Raw genomic sequence first — 20,241 nt, 5'->3', positions numbered from 1 at the left:
CAATAAAAATGTCCAAGTTTCATCTCATTTTAAATTTGGATCCCTTCTTACGAAGCAATTCTACTTCAAACAGTCTATCTTACAAATGTAGTATATATTTTAAAAAGTGTCAGACATAGATGTACATGTTTATTATAATGTTAAATAAAAAGTGATGAAAATTAATATACAACAATTGGAAACTGATTTAATCAATTGTGGTACATTGCTATAATGGAATTTTTTATAAAAAGCTGTCCAAAGTATAGTTATTACTAGTTTCAGAAGAGTATCTAAAGTATGAATTCCTTTATGAAATAGAAGGATGCATATTAATATTCAGGTGAATGAATGCAGGCAGAAGTAGCCAGATAGGCAAATAAAGTGATGATGATAGTTGACATACCTACAGCTAACATGTAGGTTTGGAAATCCAAAGATGAGAACGTTCTTCCTTCTTCCAAGAAACTATCAGAGAATTCAGGATCATTCAGCTGCCAGCAAGTGCTGGTTCTGAAAGAATCACGTGTCCAGGTAGAGGGGCCTGGAACTTCTCCTTAGGGTGCCTACATGCCAGCAGGATATGAGAAATGGAGGGATAGCGCCCTGTGCATGTTTGAGAGGACAGATTTGGACCAGAGATCTCAAAAGCCAGGAGGTGGCCAGTGGTCTTATGAAGGAGAAAATAGCTATGGCCCCTCCCTGGGCCAATGGCCAAAACTTAGATGGAATCGAGTACACATCCGAGAAGCCCACGGGGCACAGGTTTCAATGGCCAGTAACCAGCTACACCACACTCCCTTCTACACCCAGGCGGGGATACTCTCTGTCCACTGGAATTTAGGTTTCACACCTACAAAATGTCAGGGAGACTAAAGTAAATGGGATAGTTTCTACTCTGGAGCACGATGACGGCTCGAATGTTTTTGTGGTTAGAAAGAATTTTGGTGTTTTTCTTCAGTCCATATTATCCTCCTCTGAAGAAATGAACAATGGCTTGTTGAAATGATTAAACAGTTTTTAGAATGGAGAGAAAAAGAAAGCTTCCATTAATTTATCACAGTGTTTTTCCTCTTCATATATGTGTGTTTTAAAATTCATAGGCAAATTCTGGAAACATACCAAAGATGTTACTAATAGTAATTACATTTGAGGCGACAAATGGAGATTTGGGTGTAGAAAGAAGAAAAGTATCTGTTTTTGATGTTTGAATTTTTTTTACTGTGAAAATATATTAACTTTGTAATTTTTAAGTAAATAATAAAAAGAAAAGTAACCACTTTTATTGATGGTTTTCTTTTGAACTTAAAGAATTTTACCAGGAAGGGTTTTTAATTTGCTTGTAAGGGCTACTGTGAGCTTTCTCAATTTCTAATCTCACTACATTATCATTAACATAAAATCATATATCACATAACATTAGAATACAAATTTTTATTATTATCAATTTTGTTGTATTTAACCTGTGAAAATCACTTTTTATTTTTGAGGGGTCATATTAATTAATCCTGTGTTCAGATCCGTCTCTTCAGTCATTTTATTTATTTATTTATTTATTTATTTATTTTTATTATTATTTTTTTGAGACAGAGTCTTGCTCTGCCGCCCAGGCTGGAGTGCAGTGGCTTGATCTCGGCTCACTGCAAGCTCCGCCTCCCGGGTTCACTCCGTTCTCCTCCCTCAGCCTCCCGAGTAGCTGGGACTACAGGTGCCCGACCCCACGCCAGGCTAATTTTTTGTATTTTTAGTAGAAATGGGGTTTCACCGTGTTAGCCAGGATGGTCTCGATCTCCTGACCTCGTGATCCACCCGCCTCGGCCTCCCAAAGTGCTGGGATTACAGGCGTGAGCCACCATGCCCAGCCCATTTTATTTATAATTAACCTAAATTTCTACAATTTTATCTCATTTATCTTAATCAAATTCCACCTGCCTTGACTGAGATGTATTTTCGATGTCTGTCTCCTTGAGAGCAGTCTACCCCTATGTCCTACAGCAGATCAATTTAAGTTACGTCCTTGTCCTGTACGCTATCTGTGCCATTTGCTTTTTTCCCCTATTAAAGATTTTCCATTCACTAGAATAGTAAAAATTTTTTCTTATATCTGTTTGATTAGCATGTCAATGCTTCAGATTATAATTCCTTTTGTGAATTGTAGAGTCACATCATTTTGATATTATTAAGCTTCCCATCCTTAGGAACTTGTATAGCTGAACCAGGTATCTAAATGTCAAGTCAGTTAGACTGTTTCCTTGTTGTTGTTATTGTTGTTTAGTTTTGTTTTCTGCTTCCAATCAATTTATTACCTTCATGTTTGATCTCATACTCAGGTCAGCTCAAGCAGTTCCCTAGTCGCAGAAGCAAAGCTCAGCTGTGGGGTACAGAAGAGGTCCCTTGAAAACATTGCCCTTTCTGGTGGTGAGGTAGGGAGTGTGAAGCACAGCGAAGTATTAATACTGTATTCTCAGGTTAGCTCTTGTGGAGGATCTCAAGTTGGTAATTAGTGATTTTTTTCCCTAATACAATTTCATTGACACATTTGCTCGTGCTAATTTTTATTTCACTTGAAATTGCTCCATCATGAAAATCAAGCATTCAAAACAGCTCTTAAGACCCATTTATTTCTGTCCTGATTTAACAGTTTCTCCCACTGTGCCTCAACTTAATCAAAGTAAGGCTTTTCCCGTTTCACTTTCTTTTTGAGGTAACTCTTGATCTTCCATTGACATTCTCTACTTTCAACTCCACACCATCCAATTCCTATTTTCCAATCTCCTACCATTTTATCTGGAGATTTCAGTGAGTGAGTTTACTAAGACATCACATATAGAGAAACACAGTACTCTTTCTCTCGCTCTCTCTCTTTCTCTCCCCCAACCCCTCACACACACACACACACACACACACACACACACATGATAAGTAGGCACCAAGGGAATACTGAGAATGAAGGGATGAATAGGTGGTATGCAGCGAGTGCAGAGGATTTTTAGGACAGTGGAGCTACAAACATTCCTTGAATATATCGTGGATTCAGTTTCAGGTTAACTGCAATATAGCAAATATTGCTATCAAATGAGTCACACAAATTTTCTGCTTTCCCAGTACATATAAAAGTTATGTTTACATTATGCTGTAGTCCATTAAGTGTGCAATATCATTATGTCTGGAAAACATTGTACATGCTACAATTTAAAAGTACTTTATTGCTTAAAAATGCTAATGATCATCTGAGCCTTCAGTGTCATACTTTTTTGCTTGTGAAGAGTCATAGCATCTTCACCAAGAGTAGATTCCGTTTCAAGAAACCACTTCATCTGCTCACCCATAAGAAGCAACTCTTTGATATAGATGCCTGCTGACTAGTCAGGGTGATGATTGCTGAAGGCTGGGGTGGCTACGGCAATTTCTTAAAATAAGGCAACATTGAAATTTACCTTATCAATTGACTCTTTCTTCCATGAAAGCTTTCCTTGTAACATGCCATGCTGCTAGAGAGCATTTAACCCACAATAGAACTTCTTTCAAAATTAGTGTCAATCCTCTTAAACCCTGATGCTGTCTTGTCAACTAAGTTTCTGAAATATTCTAAATCATTTGCTGTCATTTTAAAGGTATGTTCACAGCATCTTCACCAGGAGGAGATTCCATCTCAAGACACCATCTTCTTTGCTCATCCACAAGAAACAACTATTTTTCTGTTCAGGTTTTCTAATGAGATTGCAACAATTCGGTCACATCTTCAGGCTCCGCTTCTAAATCTAGTTCTCTTGCTGTTTCTACCAGATGTGGAGTTATTTCCTCCACTGAAGTCTTAAACCCCTCAAAGTCATCCATGAGAGTTGAAATTAACTTCTCCCAAACTCCCATCAATGTTGATACTTTGACCTCCTCCTATGAATCACAAGCGTTCATGGCGTCTAGAATGGTGAATCTGTTCCACAAGGTTTATAATTTATTTTGCTCACATCCACCAAGGAAATCACTGTCTATGACAGCTGTAGCCTTATGAAATATATTTCTTAAATATTAAGATTTGAAATTACTCCCTGATCTATGGACAGCAGAAGATATTTTGTGTTAGCAGGCGTGAAAACAACATTAATCTAATACATCTTCACTGGGCTGTCAGGGCTATTGAGTGACTTGGTGCATTGTCATTGAGCAGTAATCCTTTGAAAATTTTTTTTCTGAGCAATAGGTCTCAATGGTGCACTTAAAATATTCAGTAAATCATCCTGCAAACAGGAATGCTGTCATTTGGGCTTTGTTGTTTCAATTCCAGAGCAAAGGATGAGTAGTTTTAGCATAATCCTTGAGGGACTCAGGAGTTTTAGAAGGGTAAATTAGCACCAACCTCACTTTGAAATCAATATCTGCATTAACTCCTAACAAGAGAGTCAACATGTCATTTGAAACTTAGAAGCCAGACATTGACTTTTCCTTTGTAGTTCTTCACATCCTAGATGATATCTTCTTCCAATAGAAGGCTGTTTGGTCTACACTGAAGATGTGTTGTTTAGCACAGCCACCTCCATCAATGATCCGAGCTAGATCTTCTGGACAACCTGCTGCAGCTTTTACATCAGCACTTGCTGCTTCACCTCACACTTTTATGTGACAAAAATGACTTCTTTCCTTAAACCTCATGAACCAACCTCTGCTAGATTCAGATTTTTCTTCTTCAGCTTTTTAACCTCTCTCAAACTTTTTAGAATTTAAGAGAACTACAGCCTTGTTCTGGACTAGGTTTTAATTTAAGGGAAGATTTTGGCTATTTTAGTCTCCTATCCAGACCATTAGCTTTGTCCATATCAGCAATAAGTCTGTTTGACTTTCTTATCATTTGTGTGTTCACTAGAGTGGCACTTTTAATTTCCTTCAAGAATTTTTTATTTGCATTCACAACTTGGCTAACTGTTGGACACAAGAGGCCTAGCTTTCAGCCTATCTCAGTTTTCAAAAAGTCTTTCTCACTAAGCTTAATCATTTTCTAGCTTTTGATTTAGAGTGAAAGATGTGTGACTCTTCCTTTCACTTGAACACTTTAGAGACCATTGGAGGGTTATTAACTGGCCTAAAGTCAATACTTCTGTGTCACAGTGAATTGGGAGGCTGGAGGAGAGGGAAAAAATGGGAAAGACTGGATGGTGGAGAATTTGAAACACACTCAATATTTATTCATTAATTCTGTTATTTTATATGGATGCAGTTTGTGGCACTTCCGAAAAACGACAGTAGTAACATCGGAGATCACTGATCACAGATCACCGTGACAGATACAATAACAATGAAAATGTTTGAAATGTTGTGAAAATTACCAAAATACAAAACAGAGACACAAAGTGAGCACATGCTGTGGGAAAAGGACACCTTTGACTTTCTCAACGTGGTATCGCCACAAACCTTCAACACATAAAACAGTGTCATGTCTGAGAAATACAGTAAAGTGAAGTGCCATAAAATGAGGTATGCCTGTGCTTTGTTTGATATTCTAAGGGTGGAAACAAGTCTTTACACATTTTTCCAAACCTATAGAAAGTCCAACACCAACAACGAAACCTAATGTAAACTATGGTCTTTGAGTGAAAATTACGTGTCAAAGTAGGTTCATCAATTGTAACAACTGTACCATTCTGGTGGGGGGACGTGGATAAAGGGAGGGTCTATGCATGTCTGGTGGCAGGGGGTATACAGGAAATCTCTCTACTTTCCTCTCAATGTTGCTGTAAACCTAAAACTCTTCTAAAAAAGTCTATTAAACTAAAAAACTGAAATGTGAACTATAATCTAACATCTACTCAAATATTTGCAATGAGCAAATAATTGCTCCAGGAATCAAGTGGTTTGTTTGCTATAAGATTAACATGAATTAAGTGAACTGAAAAAATTAAAATATTTTTGTCACTTTTTCTTAAACCATATTTTAAATAAGTCATGTCATCATGAAAACTAAAGAATAGGAATTTCAAACAGTATTGCTCCTAATGAACTAAATATTCAGTCTACTACTTGCGTTGTAATTCTTTTCACTGGAAAGTGCCTGCAAGGTGAGTTAATTTCCATGCTAACCCACAGCTAGCAGGCCCCTTACTGTTAAATCACGGTTGACAAGGAGGCAAAATCGGAGCTTCAATTACAACACATTTTGCCACATTTAAAGTCTGAGACACATAAATGGAAATATAGCTCATATATTTTAGTTACTAAAGTCTTGTGATGTAAACCATTCTTGATAGTCGCAAATACTTTTTGCTGCTCTTAACAAAAATGGAAATTAAGATAATGTATCAAAAATCCAAATGGAGGGTTATCTATATATCTTTTGAAAGGAGGTTACATATTCGCATCATTTGAAGCATTGGAAATAGCTTTACAGATTCTCAGCCTCACGCTTACTTTACGGAATCAGGGTCATTTGATGTAGGTTTCATCTTCTGTGGCATTGGAGCATAGAATACAGGAGGGAACACCTCTGCTGAAGACAAAACCACCAGCAGAGGAGGATGAGGAAATATACAAAAAAACTTTCAACCAAATGCAACGAAGGATTTCAGTGGAGCTTTTTATTACTGTTTAAAGTCTGGGCTTTGCTGAAGAGCTTGGGACCCATACAATGTGCCCATTACTGTATGTGCGTCCCTGTGTGTGCTTCACTGTGGGAGTGTTTCCCTGTGTGACTGCTTCCCTGTGTGTGTGTGTGTCCCTGTGTGTGTGCTCCCCGTGTGTGTGCTTCCCTGTGTGTGCGCGCCCGTGTGTGCGTCCCTGTGTGTGCGCGCCCCTGTGTCTGTGCGTCCCTGTGTGTGTCCCTGTGTGTGTGCTTCCCTATGCGTGTGTGTCCCTGTGTGTGCTTCCCTTTGTGTGTCCCTGTGTGTGCGTCCCTGTGTGTGCGCGCCCGTGTCTGTGCGTCCGTGTGTGTCCCTGTGTGTGTGCTTCCCTCTGCGTGTGTCCCTGTGTGTGCTTCCCTTTGTGTGTCCCTGTGTGTGTGCTTCCCTTTGTGTGTCCCTGTGTGTGTGCTTCCCTTTGTGTGTCCCTGTGTGCCTCCCTGTGTGTGCTTCACTGTGGGACTGCTTCCCTGTGTGTGTGCATCCCTGTGTGTCTGCTTCCCTGTGTGTGTGCCTATGCGTGCTTCCCTGTGTGTCTGCTTCCCTGTGTGTGTGCCTCCCTGTGTGCTTCCCTGTGTGCGCTTCCCTGTGTGTGTGCATCCCTCTGTGTGTGCGTCCCTGTGTGCATCCCTGTGTGCTTCCCTTTGTGTGTTCGCCTCCCTGTGTGTGCTTCACTGTGGGACTGCTTCCCTGTGTGTACTTCCCTGTGTGTGTGCATCCCTGTGTGTCTGCTTCCCTGTGTGTGTGACTCCCTGTGTGTGTGCTTCCCTGTGTGTGTGCTTCCCTGTGTATGCTTCACTGTGGAACTGCTTCCCTATGTGTGTGCGTCCCTGTCTGTGCTTCTTGTGTGTGTGTCCGTGTGTGTGTGCGTCCTTCTGTGTGTTATTTGCTGTGTGTACGTCCCTGTATGTGCATTCCTCTGTGTGCTTCCCTCTGTCTGCTTCCCTGTGTGTGTGCGTCCCTGTGTGCGCGCTTCCCTGTGTGTGTGTCCCTGTGTGTGTGCTCCCGTGTATGTGTCCCTGTGTGTGTGCTCCCCTGTGTGTGTGTCCCTGTGTATGCTGCCTTTTGGGTTTCCCTATGTGTGCATCCCTGTGTCTGTTTCCTTGTTTTGTGTGCGTCCCTGTGTGTGCATTCCTGTGTGTGCGTCCTTGTGTGTGTCCTTTTCTGTCTGTGCTTTCCTGTGTGTGTGCCTCCTGTGTGTGCATCCCTGTGTGTGTGTCTGTGTGTGCATCCCCGTTTGTGTCCCTGTGTGTGCGTCCTTGTGTGTCCTTTTCTGTCTGTGCTTTCCTGTGTGTGTGCCTCCTGTTTGTGCTTCCCTATGTGTGTGTCCCTGTGTGCGCATCCGTGTGTGTGTGTCCCAGGGTGTGTCCTTTTCTGTCTGTGCTTTCCTGTGTGTGCGTCCCTGTGTGTGCTTCCCTGTGTGTGCGTCCCTGTGTGTGCATCCCTGTTTGCGTCCCTGTGTGTGTGCCCGTTTGCGTGTGTCCCTGTGTGGGCATCCCTGTTTGTGTGCGTCCCTGTGTGTGCGTCCCTGTGTGTGCGTCCCTTTGTGTGTCCTTTTCTGTCTGTGCTTCCGTGTGTGTGTGCATCCCTGTGTGTGCTTTTTGTAATCTGCTTCCTTTTATGTGTGCTTTCTTTTGTGTAGCTTCTTGTCCTTGTAATTCTTTCTGTGTGTGTACTTCCTTGTCTGTGTATTTGTGTGTGTACGTGTGTGCGTTTTTTGATATACTTGGTCTTTGCAGGTGAGACTGGAAGAACAGTTATAATTCTGTTCATGGACACTTGGGCATGCCTAAAGTAAACATCAAGATGGTAATAGATCTGTGTTTTGCATATATTTTTATTTTCTGTATATTATGATGTTTTTCACATCTTTTCACATCACTGGCCTGGGAGTGATGCCCCTTCCAGGGCTAGGCAATTGCAGAGATGTCCCAGCACTCAGAGTGGAGTGTGCCTTTCCTGTGCACACTGATCCATCCAGAGCCCTGCCTCTGTGCCCTTCCACCCCAGGAGGCCGCATTCCTTTGCCTTTACTCATCCAGAGCCAGGTGGCCTGTGGTGCCTCCTGACCTTAGGGCTTGTGTGTGTGATAATCTGGGTTTCCTTGCACCTTTCTGATGTCCTCTACTGTGGCTTCACCGGACTCACCTTCACATACAATAACATAGCACACTGTTGCCCTGCCTGTCCTAATAGATCACCTTTGAGCTCCAGTAATAGAAAACTGTGGACTGTATCCTACAGAAGGGTTTTATAGAAACCGTTGTGAGGCTCTGACACACATAATGCCACCCTGTTGTCTCACTGTTCCACAGACTGTGACCCCCTCGGCCGTGAGGGCTCAGAGTAGAGGGATGGCATTTGCAGTTGAGAGAGTAACATGCCACCTTTACAACAAAGCAAGAGCAGACAAAAATACCTGGGGAGACTGTGAGGGGATGTGAAGTTTCTCTGATGTAAAAGTGGAGGCCAAGTGTGATAATGAGATGAGCATAAAATACAGCCCTGTCTTTTCAGATTTCATAAAAGTTTTTGACTTCACATGTTCAAAACTTAACTTCTGATTTTTCTTCCTATATCTGGTCCTTTAATCTTCTCATCTTGATCTTAAAATGTCAACTTTAGCTTCCAAGTTGCTCAGACAAAAAACCTTGTATTCATCCTTGACTCTATGCTTTCAAACTTTATTTTAATTCATTCTCTTGGCTGTTCATTCTAAATATATCCAGAGTCTGGTCTCTTCTCTCTGGAAATATAATGCAAGCCAGGTGTGTAGCATACAATTTTCAGGTAGCCACATTAAAAAGAAAAAAGGAACAGGCCAAGTTACTTTTAATAATGTATTTTAACTCAGAGTATTCAAAATGTTATTTCATCATTTACTAAATTTTAAAAATTATTGAGGTCTTTTACTTCCTTTTCATATTAAGTCTTGGAAATCTGTTGTGAATTTCACACCTAGAGCCCATCTCAATTCAGACACGTGACGTTTTACGTGTTCAAGAGTGACATGTGACTAGGGGTTCTCAAAACAGGCAGCCGAGCTCCAAACAATAGTTTCCTATGGCCTTTTACCCTCGCCTCTTAAAGTTTATACTCGACACACTAGCCAGAATTCTCGTAAAACCTACAAAACATATATACAACTGACCTTTATAAAACAGAAGGCACATGATTTCACTCCTTTCCTCAAAACCTTTCAATGGCTTCTGATGCCATCTAGAGTGATAAACATGACATGAAGCCTGGCTGACCACCCTGCTGCCGATTCTGTGTCCTGGTCCCCCAGTTCCTTCACTTGCTGGCTCAGCTTGGCACACAGTTCTCCTTCCTCTCCCTGAAACACACCTGGAATGCTCACATGTCAACACCGTGCTCTTGCTCTTCCCTCTGCCTGAAAATCCCTTTCGCCCGATATCAATCAGCCACACGATCCTGCATTTCTTTCAGGTCTTTGCTTAAATGTCCTGTTATCTGTGGTCCCAGATCTTTTATGATCATTGTCTATCAATTGTCTATCATTGTCAATTTCTTCAGAAATCGCTTCATACACATTATTATTATAGTATTTTCTATGCCATTACCCTACTTTGTTTTTCTTCAGTTAAACATGATCTTCCAACACTACGTATTTACTTGTTTACTTCTTTTTTGTCTCCCTCTGTCTTATACAAATAAATAAGACCAGGAGCTTTGGTTTATGTTTGTGTCTGCGGTATTGAGGACAATACCAGGCATAGTAGTCCATCATATTTTTGTTGAGTGTCTAATAAGTGAGAATCTAGAGGCAGGCTTTTATGTAACTTGAAAAGGAGTCTGATATTAAAATCCATGTAGATAGTTCAGCTCTAGTATTTTTTTTCCAATTATTTGTCACTTGGCTGTACAAGAGCAGGGCAGTGAGGAGCATCTGCCTTGGAGGGAGGAGTGCGTTATCACCGGCATTGTTGAGCATTGCCAATGCATGATGATACAAAGAAGCTGGCTGGCACTTAGCAGGTGTTACTCATTTTAAATTACCTTCAGACAATTCACCCCTTACTGGCCAGATTTGGTCTAACCATTCCCACTACCCTACCCTTCAAGAGCCACTAAAATAATTCTTAGTATACCTCCTTGGGAAGAGATCACAGTAAGGAAGACTCAGCTAAGGGAAAGAGTTGATCACAAGCTTTATAGTTGATCCGAACCTGGAAAGAATGAAAGACTCCAAACACATCGGATATACTTTTGTGAGTGATTTCTTTTAATTCACTAATACCCCTCTAAACTAGTTGTGTGCTCTAGAATTCCATTTCTTTCTTCTATTCTAAGACAAAGACTAAAGAATGTTAGCTATGGAACCCAGACAGCACATAATAGCTCTCATTTTACATATATGATGTTTATTTCTTTAAATATGCAATTTCACATTTGTTATAAGTCACTAGTGGGCATTAATAAATAAAGGTCTATCAGTACTTCTCAAATATGTCAGATTTTAACAATTTATTTTCATTGCCAGTATAGGTCATCGCTTTCAAGGGGAAGAACCCTAACCAATGCCTAAAACAAGGCAAAACCATATCATTGTTATAAAATAACTTAAATGAAGAATAAAGTAATTGGCAATTCTTTCGTCCTTCTTTCACGTACCTCCCAGCAACATGTACCTATCCATTTCTTTCCAGCCACATAGCTGTGTGACCTTACCTTTTATAAAGTAGATTTTACCCATCTGAAATAAAGCTTCTAAAAGGAGACATCCATGCTCTGTGCAATGGAAGAAATACACCATGAATGTATTTAAATAAAAATAAAATGAAGTCAAGATGAGATATAAACAAAAATGTTTCCTTAAAATTTGGCTCCAAAAAATAGTAAGAGGCAATTAGAGGAGCACTTCCTTTTCTGATTGCATCATTTTAAACTAAATGATAGAAAATAATATAGGAAATGTTTATAGGAAAATGTATAAAATTTTCTTTTTACTACCACTTGTAGTAGAAACTGAAAATTAAATTATCTCGGCACTGAAATAAATACTCAAGGAAGTGTAATTTCTCAGTTACATTTCTTCGAATTCTGATCTTTCAACATAGGAAAAATACTGACAAACATATCAAATGATAATGTTAGAAAAATTTCCTTTCTGGTTAGGTGTGTTACATATAAAGCTTATTCTCATCAACATACATTTTTATATATTACTAAATTAATGCTTTCCTTAAATCAGTAGTTTTCTTATGGGTCATGTCTAAATTATCATAATTAAGTAAAATCATATCACAGTTGCATTCATTAGCAAACTCTTGGGAAAAAGAGCTATGTATTACGCCTTCTCAGTGGGTAACTGTTGTTTTTGTAAAACTGTCTTTGGTTACTGACAGTAGGAATGAATCAGTAGAATGAAATTATTAGACTCTACTAGGAATTCATTTTTGTGTCCTGGATAACTAAGGCCTATATGATGGAGGGAAGTATTTTGGCAAAGCATGCATGCCTGGCTCATGACAATATGTTCTTTCATTATTAGCAAAGAATTGACTCGATGAAAAATTTCATTAAGTGGTTTTCTCTGAGAGTCAATGGTATCACTGAGTGGTGATTCACAGGGAGAAAGAAAATGCATTGGCACTCATGCAAATGAGAAAATTAATCAGAATTGATTGCTTTTTGCAAAACCATTTACCATGCTGAACTGTAGTACAGTAAGTCTTGCACATTTTTTACAAAGCAATTTAAAAAGTTTTGAATATTCAAGGTGTGGTGACTCCATATTTTAAAATCATGTGCCTGTGGAACAAATGATCAATTTAAACATCATCTATTCACTTTTTTTTTGAAAATTGTTGATGCCATCCCACAACTTCTTCACACAGCTCAATATTATAAAATCATAACATTTTGGTTTAAGCAAGAAACAGTGTTTTCATTAATATAAACCATAAATATTATTTTATAGACCATCATTTTACTTTTCACTTTATTAAATTGTTTAATGTTTTTCCATCCACTTCGTTTTCTACATACTTATCACTATTCACCTCATAAGTCATCATCAAGCTACTCTCAATTTTTTTCATATCACTAATCTGTTCATGAATTTTTCATTTCCTGGAGACCTCCCTCTTGTACCCACTGTTCCCATCTATACTAATCTATTCTAATATTGGGCCGGTTTCTCTGTTGGATATTCTCTTTCCCAAAGTCTACTTGCCTTAATAATTGTTCTAAAGCATAGTCTATAATAACATAAGAGTTGTATGCATTTTAACCCTAGGATATTTGAAAATACTTCTACTCTCTCATTACACTTAAATGATGGTATGGATGCATGTGGAATTCTGGATTAAAAGTACTTTTCCTTAGGGATTGAAGGCTTGGCTCCACCATTTTGGAATCCAGTTATGGTGGCGCAGATTCTGACGTCATTCTGCACGCCATTGTTCTGCAATGCGCCCTGCCCCCAACACTGCCAGTGCTTGCAAACTTAGAGGATTTAAATTCATCACTAGTGTTTTGAAATCCCAGGATGTGTTCCTGAGACAGTCTTCGTTGTTTTATTGTCCTGGGCATTCTGCGTCCTTTCAGTCTGGAGATTTTTAGGTAATGGGAAATTTGTGTGTTTTTCTGAATAATTTCTATATTTCAGTTCTTCTATTTTTCTCTGAAGAACATAATGGACAGGCACTATGTCTCACGGATATTGACTTTTTTAAGTACAAATTGGCCGGGCGCAGTGGCTCACACCTGTAATCTCAGCACTTTGGAAGGCCGAGGCAGGCGGATCACGAGGTCAGGGGTTGGAGACCATCCTGGCTAACACGGTGAAACTCTGTCTCCACTGAAAATACAAAAATTATCCGGGCGTGGTGGCAGGCACCTGTAGTCCCAGCTACTCGGGAGGCTGAGGCAGGAGACTGGCTTGAACCCGGGAGGCGGAGGTTTCAGGGAGCCAAGATTGCACCACTGCACTCCAGCCTGGTGACAGAGGGAGACTCCATTTCAAAAAAAGTTAATTAATTTAAAAAAAAAATAAAGTACAAATTGTTCATATTTTATTTTAAAGCATTTTCTTGCTCTCTGTCCTTTTTCTCTGTTTTGCAATTCTTTCTGTTTCGATGACTTTTTTTTTTTTTTTTTTGCCTTTCCTCTAGCTTCCTTTGCTTCTGAGTCTCTATTTGCAGTGCCCCGATGCTAGAAACCTGAGATCCCATGGCTTCTCCAGAATGGAGGCTTGGGCATTGTCAGCACCCTCCTTCCAAGAGTTGAAAGTTCCTCTCTTCTGGTAAGTGAGAAAACATTTTTATTCCTGTTTTCCATCTTCTGCAGTTTCACTGAAATAATTACTTTGCTATTGTCACTTCTCACATTCTCATTGTGTGGGTTATTTTTTTTTTCTTCTAGCTTTTTACTCCTTTGACTAGAGGTAGAGATTACACAGATATGTTTATCTGCAATATTATTTTTAAAGTTTTAAGTACACAACAAAGTACTTAAAAAAAAGATCTAATTTTTTGGAAGTTGAAAATCAGCCAAGAGTTAAAATTTTCTTAAAAAGACAAATATTCTATGGGTACAAGAAGAACTTGGCAGTTTTAATTCATTTTTCAGGGCATTTTTTCCTTTATTGTGTTGTCATTTCTTTATCCTTCTTTTCATCCAACCACTATTGTTGTAATTTTGCCATGATTTTGTACCTAAGTGAATTGACATCACATGTTTAGGGAGCCCTTTCATCGTGAGAGGAGAGGCAGTGATATCTGCCTACTCCACACTCCCTTTCCCCACAGATACCCCTTTCCCTCTGCCTAAGCCTTGTCAACCCATGGCGGTAGATGACTTGAATAACAAATACCTACTAAAATCCACTGCATATAAGGTAGTATACAGAGAGCTAGGCAGTGTTTCAGGCACTGATAAGGTCCCCAGAATGCATGATTATATAAAACCTCACAGATTAGCCCATGAAAACATAAGGCAGGAGCCAGACTGACCTAGATTCAAAACTCAGCTCTTCTGCTTACTAACTCCAGGAAATTAAAATGAAAATTGAAATATCTATTTCCTAATTTGTAAAATAAACATAATAGGCATAGTAATTCCTACCTCATGAGCATGCATAAAGACTAAATAAAATATGTGAAGCACAGAGCATAATATATCCATTAGATTTGACTACATTTACAGAAAACCAAAAATACCTGTTTAATTATGACAGAAGCCTATTTCCCTCTTATACAAAGTACAGATGTAAGCGTACAGGGCATGCTGGCTTCAAAGTTGCTAGGCCCCAGGTTCCTTCCAGATCAGCACTCTGCTGTCCCTAGAAATAACTTTCATGGCCATGGGTCAAGACAGCAGCTCCAGCAGTTAAATCAGAATTACTTAGACATGCAGAGGGTGCACACCAGCTGAGATTTCTTTTTTAAGGCTTTCCACAAGCTCCTTCTCAATACTTTCACAACCCATTGGCCTCAACTTAAGTACAGGGTCCAAACATATGGCAAGGGATGGTGGAAAATAGAGTCTTTATACTGAAAACCTATTGCTAAAAAAAAAAAGAGAGAGAGTTAGAGTCCTATTAATAAGACAAGAGGGAAGAACAGACATTTAGTAGAACAAACAGCAATCTCCCCCACACTTGTTGAATGGCACATAATATCCAATCCATAAATGGAATTGTCATTGCTAGCATGTTAAGGTCACTTTTATGACTTTCTAGGAACTACTTTTGTGATTTTAGGGGTTGAAAAAAATGTAGGCAGCTCCAGGAGAGCCTGTTTGACATATAGTATATTATGGGGATCTAATATTAGCACTAACGGCTTAACATTTTCCTTTGTGAATTACATTAGCCACATCTATAAGATTACATATGCAGGATTATTGTAATTTAATAGCATCAAATTATATTTTAATTATTACTTAATTCAAATGTAATCTAATTTCAATGATAATTTTTAAAAAACTGTCTGGGTGACGTAAAAGTATGCTTCTGAACTTCCAGACAGACGCAGATTTTTTAAGTGATCTTTTTGTTATTGATTTGAGCTTAATAGGAGCTGCAGGATTTCAAATACTGAAATCATTGAGGCTTCCTTTATGGTTCACCACAGTCAAATTTTATATGTTCCCCATGGGCTTAAAGGATGTGTATTCTTTAGTTATTTTGCACAATATTTTATACATATTGAGTCAAGTTTTTTGGTCTTGTTTATCAAACTTTCTACAGTCTTAGTGAATTTTTATATTCTTAGTGATTTTTGGCTATTTTATGTAACACTCAAAAATTTTACTCAAATTTTTCCTGCTGTACATCATACTAATTCTGCTCTTAGTTTTCAATTTTTCACATTTGTAGCTTTGTTTTTAAGTGCTCCACATTAAATTGATACACCTTACTGGCACATTAAATGTTGGGATTGTGAAATGGTCATATTTATTTTTGTCAAGCCTTTTTCTTAAAGTCTATATTACCTGATAATGTATTTCTGCCACTTCTGTTTTAGTAAAAATGTTACTAGTATAAATTTTTCTATTTTTGTAAAATCCCTTCTGTATCTTTTAATTTAAGATGTCTCAGGTAAAATGTACAATTTTGCATTACACAGTTTCTTGTTTGTGCTTTAGTATAGTCTGACAATCTTAGTTTTTTAGTTGAATCATTTAGTGCATTTACAGTTTTGTTGCTCCAGATATATTTGAATTTCTATTCACTATCTTTTAATTTCTATTTTTCATACTTATCGTTGCTTTGTTTTTTTCTATCTTGCCTTTCTTTTTAATATTCCTTATATATTTTTAAAACTGTGACAGTGGAGGCTTGCATTTGTTAATGTAGATAAAGCTCTTATAGCAGTGCCTATTACAAAAATAAGTGTTTTATTTTAATATTGCAATTACAATTGGGTATTTTTATTTCTCATTTCATTTTTTCCCTCTATAAGTTTAGAAGTTAATTGTTCCATTTTTCAGACTTTTAGTGTTATACTGATGATTGTAGGTTGTTCACTTTACAAAATCTAAATTTAATGAACATTTGTTCTATTGTTTTGAACTATAGAGAGCATTTAACTCATTCAACCTTTTCTCAATGAATGTGCTATTGTTGACACATACTTTAATTCCATTTTTCTAATCTCCCAAAATGTTATTGTTGTAGTTTGTATCGTTTATAATCTAATTTTTAAAATATATCTATTAATTTCTTTGCTTTTCATTTTTTCTTGTTAGATTTTCCTTATGGATTTACTTTCCTTGTGCCTGAAGTACATTTTTTAAAATATTCTTTAGAAAAAGTTTGCAGTTGATAAGTTTTATCAGTTTGTTTTCCCGACAAATGTCTTTATTTTGACTTCATTCTTGAGAGACACTTGGTTCCTGGTAAAGGCTCTGGGTAAATGGTTATTCTCTGCAATGCAATGAAGGTATCTCTCAGACTTCTGTTACTTCTGCTAAAATGCCAGCTTCTAGTTTAACTCTTGCTCCTTTGAATGGAAACAATCTTCTAATTCTGGCTAATTTTAATATATTTTCTTTCTCTGTTTACTCCTTCATTATGATCTCTTTTTGTGTTGATATTTTAAACTCTTTCTGGGTACATATTGGAGCTGTTTAAACTTTGTGTTTTTTTATTTCTTCTGAAAATTTTTAGTCCCTATAATTTCAAAGATATCCTCAGCCCCATTCTTTCTCTCTTCCTTTTTCTTCTCCAACAGGATCACCAATTATATGTATGTTAGGTCTTCTCACACATTCTTCCATGTTTCTTAAGCTCTCTTTTACATTTCATCTTTTCGTTTTTCTTCACTGCATTCTGAATAATTTCTGTATATCTTATTCCACTTCACTAAGTTTCTCTTGAACTATGTCATATCTGCTATTAAATCTTTCCTCTTATTTTAAAATTTTGATTGTATATTTAACTTCTAATGGTTATGTTGATTATTTTATAAATCATTTTGGTCATCCTTTACATTGTCCTATTCCCTCACGTATTAGCAAACTTGTTTATTATATATATAATATTCTGAATATTATAAATATTTGAAAATTACTCAGAGCACAAACAATACTATGTGTGCTACAGTTAAGGCAGGAAAGTGTTTGGCACTTTTCAAGGAATTGAAAAGTAACTTAGCTGTATAGAATGCATGAAGGGTGGAGGACAATGAGTTTTAGGAGATGTGGTTGGAAAAGAAGACAGAAACCAAATCTGCAATGTCCTATAAGCCATGCTGAGAATTTTGAAAGTATGAGAAACTATAAACACTCTAAGTTCAAATTGTGTATTCTATTTTCCTAAGGGTTTTTTTTAAAATATGAATATAGGTCATAGCTATATGGCTTAGCAGAAATTGTTTACCATATAGGCAAACTTTATTTCTAAACTATATAAACACACCTGTGTACATACGCACACACACACAAATAAATTTACCACTTGAAAAAATGTATTGGACACTCAGTATGGCAAGTTGCTCTCAGGTAGGAGGAAAGAGCTGTTTGCAGGATTGCGCAGACATTATGGTATTATATATGAAATTTTAGGTTGTTAATCTTTCTGTGATTTCAGGTCAACAAATATAATTTTTATGCTTTGTATAGTTCTTGATAGAAAGTAACCTTTAGTATCATTTTTCTTAAACCTACCAAATTATTTCTGCAGTAAAATTATGAATTAAGACTCTCATCTAAAACGAATAGTCTAAGAAACACTCTTTTCCATTGGATTTTGATTCTTTTGAGCCAACTATGTCTTTTGCCTGTGTATTCAGTCACAATAATAGCTTCATAGAAGCTTTAAAGTTATGTAAATTAAATAGTTACAACAGCTCTGTTTTAAAAACAGAAGAAAGCATGAAATTTGTGTTGAGAAATATATTTGATAGTGACATATCTATATCTTATTTATACAGACATACAGACAGGATATAGAAACAGATTAGAATTTGCTTGAAACAATCCCACTGGTCTGTCTCTGTCATGAGGGCCTCCAGCAGCACCCAGGAGCTGCTATGCTGTGTATGTTCTTAGGTCTGTTCTGCCTCTAGAGTTGACTGAAACTAATATGATTTATTGCTGAGTGCTATTGTACTCTCAAGTCAGAATTCCTCCACAAACCACCCATCCATAGAGTGTTGCTGTCGACTCAGCCAACACCAGGCACATTTCAAAATCATTAATTAGCTCCTGGAAATTTGGTGCCTCACTGTAATACACTTTAAAGTTTTACTTTTAAATCCAAACCTTAAAAATATAACTTAAAGACTAGTTGAAAATAAATGTATTTATAATTAGAGGATAAGTATAGTTACCTTTACAGTATGTCATAAGTAAAGTTCTATACACACTACTAATTGTATATGATAAAAGCAATACAGCTAGCATAGCCTGGATACCCGTCTGTCTAGGATGAGGATGAAGTATTACTTGGTAGAAGCTAGAGAAGAACTTCTTCTCGTGGCCGTGATTGGGTTAGTTCTCCTATGTCACCCTGCTTTTATGCCACAACCCTTTAACTCCACTCTGATTTATGAATATTTGAGTTAAACTTATTTCCTTGAATCAGAGCAAGTGTACTAACTGCTAACAATTCTACCCTCTGTCTAGAGTTTTTTAAAGCTCATCATTTAAATTACAGAGATGATCTGTCTCAGATAATCTTAATCTTCCTAATTTATCTGTCTTATCTTCACTCATTTTGGTGTATCATTATACAGCTCTATACTGCAGGCAAGGTCAGTGAAAATGAGCATACAAAGAGGGCACAAAAATGTACTCCATTTACAAATGTCTATGGATATTGTTTTACACTTTAGCGAGAAAAATTTAATGAAATTTTACAGTTCAAAGAGGAGCAAAAAATATCTTCCAGAAATGAGTACTAATATTAGATGGGATCAGATTTCAAAGAGAGTGGTAATGTGGGGTATAGGTAGGGATAAATTGAGACCCATAATGATGTAGTGTACAGCACATTCTCTAGAAGCAACATATGACCCTGATGGGTTTGTGACATGAATCATAGACCTCTTAGTGTATCTATCTATCTACACATACACACACACACATATATGTATACACACTCAGAATATACATATTATATGTATAATATATTATATAATATATTATACATATAATATATAATATTTTATATATATTATATATTATATATATTAAATATTATATAATTATATTATATAATAATATATATAATATAATTATATAATTATCTATCTACACATACACACACATATATGTATACACACTCAGAATATACATTATATATAATTATATTATATATATTATATATTATATAATATTATATATATTATTAATTATAATATATATTATTAATTATATATTATTAATTATAATATATATTATTAATTATAATATATATTATTAATTATATAATATTATTAATTATATAATATTATTATATATATATTAATATAATTATATAATATGTATATTCTGGGTTTCTCCAAACAGAAAGGTAAGTATTGTTTGTTGGGTTGGTTGTGTTTGATGGAGAAACATGATCCTGGAATAGGAAACCAAAGAAAGAGAGATCTACTAAAGCATGAAGACACTGTTTGTGTGCACTGGGCTGTGTGAGAGGGAGACTATGTGCAGTGAACACTAGAACTGGAGGAATGAACTGAAC

General features: G+C 37.1%; 1 long non-coding RNA gene across 1 annotated transcript in view, besides 2 other annotated features; it reads left to right on the top strand.

Annotated features, from left to right (window-relative positions):
- Positions 6,290-7,287: an enhancer, noted in NCBI's record as "H3K27ac-H3K4me1 hESC enhancer chr4:189745365-189746362 (GRCh37/hg19 assembly coordinates)". NCBI's record gives its function as "activates a minimal SCP1, AML or CMV promoter by ChIP-STARR-seq in naive H9 embryonic stem cells {active_cell/tissue: H9 hESC(naive)}" and the evidence as "EXISTENCE:reporter gene assay evidence [ECO:0000049][PMID:30033119]".
- Positions 7,288-8,286: an enhancer, noted in NCBI's record as "H3K27ac-H3K4me1 hESC enhancer chr4:189744366-189745364 (GRCh37/hg19 assembly coordinates)". NCBI's record gives its function as "activates a minimal SCP1, AML or CMV promoter by ChIP-STARR-seq in naive H9 embryonic stem cells {active_cell/tissue: H9 hESC(naive)}" and the evidence as "EXISTENCE:reporter gene assay evidence [ECO:0000049][PMID:30033119]".
- The window catches only part of LOC101930028 (uncharacterized), a 49,521-nt gene continuing 42,275 nt past the window's right edge, over positions 12,996-20,241 (top strand). The window contains exons 1-2 of the long non-coding RNA NR_188358.1: positions 12,996-13,172; positions 13,724-13,854. This is a non-coding gene — a long non-coding RNA (uncharacterized LOC101930028). The remainder of the gene's footprint in view (positions 13,173-13,723; positions 13,855-20,241) is intronic.

Source organism: Homo sapiens, chromosome 4 (genome assembly GCF_000001405.40).
Source record: "Homo sapiens chromosome 4, GRCh38.p14 Primary Assembly".
NCBI classification, from domain to species: Eukaryota; Metazoa; Chordata; class Mammalia; order Primates; family Hominidae; genus Homo; species Homo sapiens.
The sequence above is the reverse complement of the archived record's forward strand: the minus strand, read 5'-3'. Positions and strand labels throughout refer to the sequence as shown.